This window comes from Homo sapiens, chromosome 19 (genome assembly GCF_000001405.40).
Source record: "Homo sapiens chromosome 19, GRCh38.p14 Primary Assembly".
In the NCBI taxonomy this organism is placed as follows: Eukaryota; Metazoa; Chordata; class Mammalia; order Primates; family Hominidae; genus Homo; species Homo sapiens.
In genome coordinates this window covers 2,005,881-2,016,064 of record NC_000019.10, presented here as the reverse complement: position 1 = coordinate 2,016,064, position 10,184 = coordinate 2,005,881, and the positions used below count along the sequence as shown (strand labels likewise).

Sequence of the window (10,184 nt, the reverse complement as noted above, 5' to 3'; positions counted from 1 at the left end):
CCACCTCCCCTCCTTTCCCCTCCCTCTCCTCCCCTCCCTCCTTCCCCCTCCTTTCCCCTCCCTCTCCTCCCCTCCCTCCTTCCCCCTCCTTTCCCCTCCCTCTCCTCCCCTCCCTCCTTCCCCCTCCTTTCCCCTCCCTCTCCTCCCCTCCCTCCTTCCCCCTCCTTTCCCCTCCCTCTCCTCCCCTCCCTCCTTCCCGCTTCCCCTCCCCTCCCTCCTCCCCTCCTTTCCCCTCCCTCCTCTTTTCCCCTCCCCTCCCTCCTCCCCCTCCTCCCCCTACTCTCCTCCTTTCCCCTCCCTCCTTCCCTCCTCCCCTCCCTCCTTCCCTCCTCCCCTCCCCCGCCCACGCCGCAGCCACAAAATGGCGGCGGGTGGGAGCGGCGGGCGTGCGTCGTGCCCGCCGGGGGTCGGGGTCGGCCCGGGCACGGGGGGCAGTCCCGGGCCCAGCGCCAACGCCGCCGCCACCCCGGCCCCCGGCAACGCGGCCGCCGCCGCCGCCGCCGCCGCCGCCGCCGCCGCCGCCCCTGGGCCGACGCCGCCCGCCCCGCCGGGCCCCGGGACAGACGCGCAGGCCGCGGGCGCGGAGCGGGCGGAGGAGGCGGCGGGCCCGGGGGCGGCGGCGCTGCAGCGCGAGGCCGCGTACAACTGGCAGGCCAGCAAGCCCACCGTGCAGGAGCGCTTCGCCTTCCTCTTCAACAACGAGGTGCTGTGCGACGTGCACTTCCTGGTGGGCAAGGGGCTCAGCTCGCAGCGCATCCCCGCGCACAGGTGGGCGCCCCGACCCCGCCAGCCCTGGCCCCGACCCACCCAGCCTGCTGCCCGGGCCCTGCACCTGAGGCCCTGCACCCCTCTGTCCCCGAGACCCCCGCACCCCTCCATCCCCGAGCCCTGCACCCCTCTGTCCCCGGGACCCCTGCACCCCTGCATCCTCAGGCTCCGAACCCAACTCGGCCTGCACCCCGGGGCCTGCACCTGAGGCCCTGCACCCCTCTGTCCCTGGGACCCCTGCACCCCTCCGGTCCTGAAACCGACCCGGCCTGCACCCCGGGGCCTGCACCCTTCCATCCCTAGACTCCACCCAGTTCCCTGGGCTCTGCACCCCTCTGTCCCTGCCTCTGCACCTCTCTGTCCCCAGACCCCACCAGGCCTGCACTCTGGGCCTCTGCACCCCTCCATCCCCAGGCCCCCCTGGATCCTCCACCTCTGGCTTGCGCCCCCAGCCTGTTCCCCGGGATCCCAGGCCCTGTACCCCTGGGACCCCTGCTCTCCTCCGTCCCTGGACCCACCCAGCCTGCACTCCGGTACCCTCCGTTCCTGGGACCCTCCAACTCGGCCTGCACTTGGAGCCCCTGGGCCCCTCCATCCTCAAACCCCACCCAGCCCGCACCCCAGAACCCTGAATACCCCATCCTCAGGGCCCTCCACCCCCCGCCTGCACCCTAGGACCCTCCATTCTTCCATCCCCAGGACGCTCCATCCCTGGACCTCACCCCTCCCTGCACCCCAGGTCCCCAGACACCTCTGCCCCCAGATCCCTGGGCCCCTCCACCTCCGGCTGGAACCCCTGCCTACACCCCAGGCCCCTCCATCCCTGGACCCCACCTGGCCTGCATCCCTGGGTCCCCTCCATGCCCTGGCCCTGCACCCCCACCCACCACCCCTGGGACTCCTGTGACCCTCCAACCCTGGGACGTGTACCCCTATCTGCTCCTCCATTCCCAGGACCCCAACCCACTGTTTCTAGGACCCATGACCCCACATGCCACACCCCTCCATCCCTATACCCGGGGATCCTCAGGACCCCTCCATCCCCAGGCCCTGCACCCTTGCCTGCCGCCCCTCTCCCCCTGGGACCCCTACTGGTGACCCCTCCGTCCCTGTACCCAGGGACTCTCCAGGACCCCTCCTTCCCCAGGTCCTTCACCCCTGCCCACTGCCCTTCCACTCTCTACTCCCGGGGCCCCCTGGGACCCCACTACACTCAAGTGTGTCACCCCTGCATCCCAGGATGGAGAGACTTCTCCGCTCTCACCTGAGACCCCCCGTCCCCAGTCCTCACCACCTCAGTCCGTAACCCCCAACCTATGACTCCTGAACTCCAGGACCCCTCCCTTCAGGGGTCGTGCTATTTCCTCCACCCCCACCCATGACCACAAGACCCCTCCCTCTTCCCCCACCATCCAGGGACCCTGCCACTCCCACCCGCACCCCTGTGCGCCAAGACCCCTAGGCCTTGCTCCCTGCGTCCTCCCTGCTGCCTCCAGACCCAGTGACCCCCACCGGAGACCCCCAGGCTCAGCACATGATCTGGATCAGAGACCTTCAAACCATGCTGCTCCCCTCCAGGGATACCCCCTGCCCGCCCTGCAGTCCAGATCATAGACTACCATCCACAGCCCCTCCAGCCCCGGACCCCCACCTCAGCCAGAGACCCCTGGGCCCTGCCACCTCCCACTTCAGTGACCACCCACCTCCAGCTCCGCCACTGCCAGGCTCTGGACCCTGGACTCTGCAGAAGGTTGTCTCCCCTGGGCCCTGCTACCCCCTGCACCCCATCCTATGATCCCCTGCCACCAGGCCACCACCCTAGACCCCTGCCCAGACTCCCATCTCCGGGCCCTTCCAACCCAGAGACCCCCAGCTCCGGGGTCCCTCCCTCCCCAGCCCCCAGCCCTCCTTTCTGGGAAAGAAGTGGGTTTGGCCCAGTATCTGTCTTTGCCAGTGTGCGGGGTACCGGCCCCAGGCCCCAGGTTCCCTCCACTCCCCGGTCCCTCTTACCCTGCCCCTCATTGGTCGGGGGCAGGGGCTGGGTTTTCTTGCTGCGGGCACTGGAGGGGGAGGGTCCTGCCCTCCCTTCTGACCTTCGGGTGCTTTTGTTAACGTGTTCTGGCTTCTTCCTGGGTGTTTATGGGCAGCTGGGTCTCCTTTCGTGGGGTCCTGCCCTGGGCGGTACTTAGCAGAGGTTCCTGCCCCTGGAGGGTTCCGGGGCCTCCTACGGCTTGTGCCGTCCGTGTCGCCGTCCCTGTCTCTGTCGTCCTTAGCTGCTGGGCCTCTCCTAGCTTGGAGTGAGGGGCGGTGGGTTTGCTCCCTCCACCTGGGTGGTCTTTGTGCTCTTTGGGGAGGGGGTAGGTTGGATGCAGCTGGAACTCACCCAGCAGCAGGTGCAGCTGGAGAATCCCAGGCTTTCTGTTTGAGGGGGGAGGTGGGGCGCCCCGGGCACCGGCTGACCTTGGGACATGTATGCGATTGCACTTGAGGGACCGCTGGCTCGGTTGCAAAGTGGGGAAGATGGAGGCAGGACAAGGACCCCTTGGAGAAAAGTAGGTGAGGGGTCTGCCCCCGGGGGGCTCAGGAGAGGGCAATGAGGCCCAGCGGGAGATAGCAGCAAGGTAAGGTGGGCGGGCCTGGGACAGCGGACCCTCGACATGCGGGGTTAGGGGCGTGGACCCCCACTCAGCTCAAATCCAAGTACAACTTTTGACTCCCACGAACTTAACTAGGAATGGCTTCTCGCTGACCGGAGGCCTTGTGAGGACACTTGGTCAATGCACACCAGCCTCCTGTTCTCACAATAACAGGCTGGAGAACAGAAAATACATTCAGAAAAGTCTAAGGGGCCGGGTGCGGGGGCGCACGCCTGGAATCCCAGCACTTTGGGAGGCCGAGGCGGGCAGATCACGAGGTCGGGAGATCGAGACCAGCCTGGTCAACACGGTGAAACCCTGTCTCTACAAAAATACAAAAATTAGCCGGGCGTGGTGGCGCACACCTGTAATCCCAGCTACTCAGGAGGCTGAGGCAGGAGAATCTCGTGAACCCAGGAGGTGGAGGTTGCAGGGAACCGAGATTGCGCCATTGCACTCCAGCCCAGGCGACACAGTGACACACCATCTCAAAAAAAATAAAGGACAGGCTGGGCGCGGTGGCTCACGCCTGTAATCCCAGCACTTTGGGAGGCCGAGGCGGGCGAATCATGAGGTCAGGAGTTTGAGACCATCCTGGCCAACGTGGTGAAACACCGTCTCTACTAAAAATACAAAAAATTAGCCGGGTGTGGTGGTGCACAACTGTAGTCCCAGCTACTTGGGAGGCTGAGGCAGGAGAATCACTTGAACCCGGGAGGCGGAGGTTGCAGTGAGCCGAGGTTGCGCTACTGCACTCCAGCCTGGGCGACAGAGCAAGACTCTGTCTCAAAAAAAAAAGGAAAAAAAATAAAAGGAGAAATCCTGTTTGCTGTTCACACAGTGGAGGTGGCCACGATGAAGGCCTGTGTCCTTGTGTTCATATTGAGGGCTGAGGAGCAGGAGCAGGAGGGTGGGTCTGTCTCCGGGGTGGCAGAGGTGGAAGGGGAGGCAGGAGAGGCCGGCACCGTTGGGGCAGCCTTTATTGAAAAAATTCACATATGAGTGGACCTGTGCAGTTGAAGCCTGCCTTGTTGAAAGGTCATCTGTGTTTCCTTAGCATTTCAGGAGGGTTGAAAATGGAGAGGGGGCACTGACCTGGTCCAGAACGACCCCCTGAGCAAGTGATGTTGATGGAGAGTGCAGTGCCCCAGGCTCAGGGATGGAAGGCCCAGAGCCCAGAGGGGCTGGGCAGGTGGGAGCCATGGCAAGGCCGGAGCAGGAGGAGTGAGGGAGGCCCTGTGGCCCAGTGTGACCAGATCCGCATTGAGGGTGGAACGCGCCGTGGATGGGCCCAGGAGCGAGGCTGGGGAGTAGCAGCTGCAGACTCCAGGCAGGAGACAGCAGCGGGCTCGGTGGGGACGGCAGAAATGAGGGGTAGAGGATGCAGGTCCTCTTTGGAGGAAGCGAGTTCCTGTGGCCAGGAGAGGAGGCAGCTTGGCAGGTGAGGGCGTGGGGGGCTGTGGTGGGGGTCCCCAGACTTCTGGCTGGAGCATCACAAGCCAGGACAGGCTCAGGAGGGACAAGTACTGGCTTGGATGTGTTGGCGGGACCTGGGGCTGAGAGGTCCGCAGAGCAGTGTGTCCCAAGTGCTCTGTGCCTCAGTTTCCATGATTGAAACAAGGTCACTCAGACACATCTGTCCTGGGGCTGTGGGAACAAACGGACCCGATGGGTTGCTGACAGCCACAGGCCACACAGCAGAGAGAAAGAAAACAGCAGCTGAGGCCGGGCGCAGTGGCTCACGCCTATCATCCCAGCACTTCGGGAGGCCGAGATGGGCAGACATCTGAGGTCAGGGGTTTGAGACCAGCCTGGCCATCGTGGCAAAACCCCGTCTCTACTAAAAATACACAAATAAGCTGGGCGCGGTGGCACGCACCTGTAATCCCAGCTACTCAGAGTCTGAGGCAGGAGGATGGCTTGAATCCGGAAGGCAGAAATTGCAGTGAGCCAAGATTGCGCCACTGCACTCCAGCCTGGGTGACAGGGCGAGACTCCGTCTCAAAAAAAAAAAAAAGGTGGGGGGATGTCGGGACGAACTGGGGGTGCTGGGATAAAGTCTGGAGTTCACCGATGAGCAGAGAGGGGCCGGGCCTTGCCAGCTGTGAGGAGAGCAAGTGGCCTGGGCTTGGGCCTGGTCCCTGGCGGGGGTGCAGGGTGAGCTGAGACATGGCAGAGAGGAGGCTGGGAGCAGGCCTTGGTGGTGGCCCCAGTGTCTGGACCGTCGCGCAGGGGTCGGCGTTTGTGCTGGGGAGGAGGCCAGGGGTTGCACGCGGCTTCTGGGCTGTTCCCCGGTCCTGGATGGGCACCCGTCCATCTCAGCGCGCTGGAGCCTGGCACACAGTAGGCACGCAGTGATTGTGCATTGAATGATCTGTGGGAATTAAACATCTGATTCTCTCATGGGGCTTGAAGGGAGAACTGAAGATCTCCAGGGTTGCACTTTTGTAGATGTGCACATTGGCTGGTCCCATGAAGTTAGTATCTAAAATACCTTTTTCTTTTTTTTGAGACGGAGTCTCGCTCTGTTGCCCAGGCTGGAGTCCAGTGGCGCGATCTCCGCTCACTGCAAGCTCCGCCTCCCAGGTTCATGCCATTCTCCTGCCTCAGCCTCCCGAGTAGCTGGGACTACAGGCACCCGCCACCACACTTGGCTAATTGTATTTTTTAGTAGAGACGGGGTTTCACCATGTTAGCCGGGCTAGTCTCAAACTCCCGACCTCAGGTGATCCGCCCACCTCGGCCTCCCAAAGTGCTGGGATTACAGGCGTGAGCCACCGCACCTGGCCTCCCCTCCTTTTTTGTTTTTTTGAGACAGAATCTTGCTCTATTGCCCAGGCTGGGGTACAGTGGCGTGATCTCCGCATGCTGCAGCCTTCAGCTCCCTGGCTCAAGCAATTCTCCTGTCTCAGCCTTCTGAGTAGCTGGGATTACAGGTGTGCGCCACCACGCCCAGCTAATTTTTGTATTTTTAGTAGAGACAGTATTTCCGTCATGTTGCCCAGGGTGATGGTGAACTCCTGAGCTCAGGTGATCCACCCACCTCGGCCTCCCAAAGTGCTGGGATTCCAGGTGTGAGCCACCGCGCCCAGCCTAACGTATCTTTATTCACTCTATCATGGAACTGTCAGCATTGTAGCGAGGTCTAGAAGTAGAACAATCTGGGTGGGTGTGGTGGCTCACGCCTGTAATCCCAGCACTTTGGGAGGCCGAGTCAGGCGGATCACGAGGTCAGGAATTTGAGACCAGCCTGGACAACATGGTGAAACCCCGTCTCTACTAAAAATACAAAAAATTAGCCTGGTGTGGCGGTGGGCACCTGTAATCCCAGCTACTTGGGAGGCTGAGGCAGGAGAATTGCTTGAACCCGGGAGGCGGAGGTTGCAGTGAGCCAAGATCACGCCACCACACTCCAACCTGGGTGACAGACTGAGACTCCGCCTCAAAAAAGAAGAAAAAAGAAAAACCACAAAAATTAGCCGGGCGTGGTGGCGAGCGCCTGTAACCCCAGCTACTGGGGAGGCTGAGGCAGGATAATCGTTTGAACCTGGGAGGCGGAGGTTGCAGTGAGCCAGGATTGTGCCACTGCACTTCAGCCTGGGTGACAAAGCGAGACTCTGTCTTGGAAAAAAAAAAAAAAGAACAGTGTGTTCTGGGGTCTCACATTTCATTGACTGCTTTGTGAGTCCTTGTTCCCATAACACATTGTTTGATGATTGCTGCTTTGTGGTATGTTTTGAGAACTGCTCACCAAATTCTTCCCAACTTTATTCTTTGTGAAGACTTTTCAGGCTGAGTGCAGTGGCTCACATCTGTAATCCCAGCACTTTGGGAGGCTGAGGTGGGAGGATCACTTGACCCCAGGAGTTCGAGACCAGTCTGGCCAATATAGCGAGACCTCATTACTTGGACATGGTGGTGTGTGCCTGTGGTCCCTGCTACTCAGGAGGCTCGGGTAGGAGGATCACCTGAGCCTGGGAGGTTGCCGCTGCAGTGAGCCATGATCCTACCACTGCACTCCATCCTGGGCGATAGAGTGAGACTCTGTCCCTAAAAAAAAAAAAAAAAAAAGCTGGGCACAGTGGCTCACGCCTGTAATCCCAGCATTTTGGGAGGCCAAGGCGGGCAGATCACCTGAGGTCAGGAGTTCGAGATCAACTTGGCCAACATAGTGAAACTCTGTCTGTATTAAAAATACAAAAAGTACCCAGGCATGGTGGCTTGCACCTGCTGCTTGAGAGGCTGAGGCAGGAGAACCGCTTAAACCTGGGTGGCAGAGGTTGTGGTGATCTGAGATCGCACGACTGGGCTCCAGCTTGGGCAACACAGCGAGACTCCACCTAGAAAAAAAAAAAAAGAGTGGGCGCAGTGGCTCACCCCTGTAATCCCAGCACTTTGGGAGGCTGAGGCAGGCGGATCACCTGAGGTCAGGAGTTTGAGAGCAGCCTGGCAAACATAGTGAAACCTTGTCTCTACTAAAAATACAAAATTAGCCAGGCGTGGTGGCAGGTGCCTGTAATCCCAGCTACTCGGGAGGTTGAGGCAGGAGAATTGCTTGAACCTGGGAGGTGGAGGTTGCAGTGAGCTGAGATCGTGCTGCTGCACTCCAGCCTGGGCAAAAAGAGTAAAATTCTGTCTCAAAAAAAAAAAAAGACTTTCTCAGCTGGTCTGACACATTTATTACTCTTCTAGAATCAGTCACCCACATCCACCCATCTGTCCACCCTACAGATACTCACTGAAATACAGTCCTGGCTACAGGAGGTGCATATGACAGAAAAACATCTCCTTCCTTATGGAACTTATATTCTGTGTTTTGTTTTATTATTTTTTGAGACAGAGTCTCGCTCTGTTGCCCAGGCTGAAGTGCAGTGGCATGATCTTGGCTCGCTGCAAAGCTCTGCCTCCTGGGTTCCCGGCAGTTCTCTTGCCTCAGCCTCCCGAGTGGCTGGGATTACAGGTGTGCACCACCACACCCGGCTAATTTTTGTATTTTTAGAGACGGGGTTTCGCCATTTTGGCCGGGCTGGTCTCAAACTCCTGACCTCAGGCTATCCCCGGCCTCCCAAAGTACTGGGATTACAGGTGTGAGCTACCGTCCCTGGCCTAAGGCGGGAAGATCTTTTGAAGCCAAGAGTTTGGTACCAGTGTGGGCAACATAGTGAGACCTTGACTGTGTGTAAAACAAAACCAAAACAGATAAAAGACACAGGTGCCAGCAAATTCATGTGAAGGGTCAGATAGTAAATATTTTTGGCAGGCCATACTGTCTCAGTTGCAGCTACTTAATTCTGCCGTAGCAGCACAAAAAGCCATAAATCAACAACATGTAACTGAGCAAGAAGAGCTGTGTTCTAATAAAACTTTATTGGCCAGGTGCAGTGGATTACACCTGTAATCCTGGCACTTTCGGAGGCCGAGGCAGGAGTATCACCTCAGGTCAGGAGTTCAAGACCAGCCTGGCCAACATGGTGATACTCCGTCTCTACTAAAAATACAAAAAGTGGCTGGGCGCAGTGGCTCACGCCTGTAATCCCAGCACTTTGGGAGGCCGAGGCAGGTGGATCATGAGGTCAGGAGTTCAAGACCAGCCTGGCCAAGATGGTGAAACCCCATCTCTACTAAATATACAAAAATTAGCCGGGCGTGGTGGCGAGCGCCTGTAATCCCAGCTGCTTGGGAGGCTGAGGCAGGAGAATTGCTTGAACCTGGGCAGCAGAGGTTGCAGCGAGCCGAGATCGCGTCACTGCACTCCAGCCTGGGCGATAGAGTGAGACCGTCTCAAAAAAATAAAAAATAAAAAAATTAGCTGGGCATGGTGGTGAGCACCTGTAATCCCAGCTACGTAGGAGGCTGAGGCAGGAGAATCGCTTGAATCTGGGAGGAGGAGGTTGCAGTGAGCTGAGGTAGTGCCAGTGCAGGCCAGCCTGGTCAACAAGAGTGAAACTCCGTCTCAGAAAAAAAAAAAACTTAATTTACAAAAACAAGTGGTGGGCCAGATTCACTCTAAGGGCCATAGTTTGCCAGCCCTGGGCTAACGGTGCCTGATGATCTTGAGAATCAGTTTGTCAAGTGATAAAGGAATTTACTGAGGAGATTGGTCTTTCTAAGGACATAAAGTTGGGTGATTTTTCTTTTCTTTTTTTTTTTTTTTGAGACGGAGTCTCGCTCTGTCGCCCAGGCTGGAGTGCAGTGGCACAGTGTCAGCTCACTGCAAGCTCCGCTTCCTGGGTTCAAGTGATTCTCCTGCCTCAGCCTCCCGAGTAGCTGGCATGTTTACTTTTATCTGGTTTGAACTGTTTCTTCCTGAAGCCTTATTAGGTTTAACAGTTTTTCTGTGGTCTTGTGCTCTGCAGTAGAGTATCCTGTAGTAAGCGGGATGGTTTGGATGTGTGCTGTCCAATACTAGGCACTCATGTGCCAGTACGGACTACAGATGTGGACAGTGTGACCGAGGAGTTGAATGTTGAATTCAGCTGAATTTGGATATAGATTTAAATAGCCATGTGTGTCTAGTATTGACCCCTTGGACTCTTAGACTTTTTAAAAATTAAATTTTTTTTTTTTTTTTTAGAGACAGGGTCTCACTCTGTCACCCACACTGGAGTTCAGTGGCTCGATCATAGCTCACTGCAGCCTCCAGCTTCTGGGCTCAAACAGTCCTCCCACCTTAGCCTCCCAAGTAGCTGGGACTATAGACATGCACCACTATGCTCGGCTGATTTTTTTCTGTTTAGTAGAGATGGGGTCTGCTGTGTTGCTCAGGCTGGTCTTGAACTT

At 58.3% G+C, this 10,184-nt stretch overlaps 1 protein-coding gene across 5 annotated transcripts in view, besides 3 other annotated features; it reads left to right on the top strand.

The window, feature by feature from the left end:
- The first annotated feature begins 350 nt into the window (after positions 1 to 350).
- The window catches only part of BTBD2 (BTB domain containing 2), a 30,267-nt gene continuing 20,433 nt past the window's right edge, over positions 351 to 10,184 (top strand). For 2 of the 5 annotated variants that reach the window (XM_047439067.1, XM_047439066.1), the window contains exons 1-2: positions 351 to 768; positions 2,347 to 2,518. Coding sequence is in view for 2 of the 5 variants with exons in the window: in NM_017797.4 (NP_060267.2) it covers positions 362 to 768 (407 nt within the window). In the remaining 3 variants the exon portion in view is untranslated. The remainder of the gene's footprint in view (positions 769 to 2,346; positions 2,519 to 10,184) is intronic. The other 3 variants (NM_017797.4, XM_047439065.1, XM_047439068.1) reach the window with 2 other exon arrangements.
- Positions 545 to 694: a silencer, noted in NCBI's record as "silent region_9758". NCBI's record gives its function as "represses an Ori minimal core promoter by ATAC-STARR-seq in GM12878 lymphoblastoid cells {active_cell/tissue: GM12878}" and the evidence as "EXISTENCE:reporter gene assay evidence [ECO:0000049][PMID:35858748]".
- Positions 705 to 754: a silencer, noted in NCBI's record as "silent region_9757". NCBI's record gives its function as "represses an Ori minimal core promoter by ATAC-STARR-seq in GM12878 lymphoblastoid cells {active_cell/tissue: GM12878}" and the evidence as "EXISTENCE:reporter gene assay evidence [ECO:0000049][PMID:35858748]".
- Positions 3,570 to 3,761: a silencer, noted in NCBI's record as "fragment chr19:2012303-2012494 (GRCh37/hg19 assembly coordinates)". NCBI's record gives its function as "represses an EF-1alpha promoter that drives an FKBP-Casp9 reporter gene in an ReSE screen in K562 erythroleukemia cells {active_cell/tissue: K562}" and the evidence as "EXISTENCE:reporter gene assay evidence [ECO:0000049][PMID:32094911]".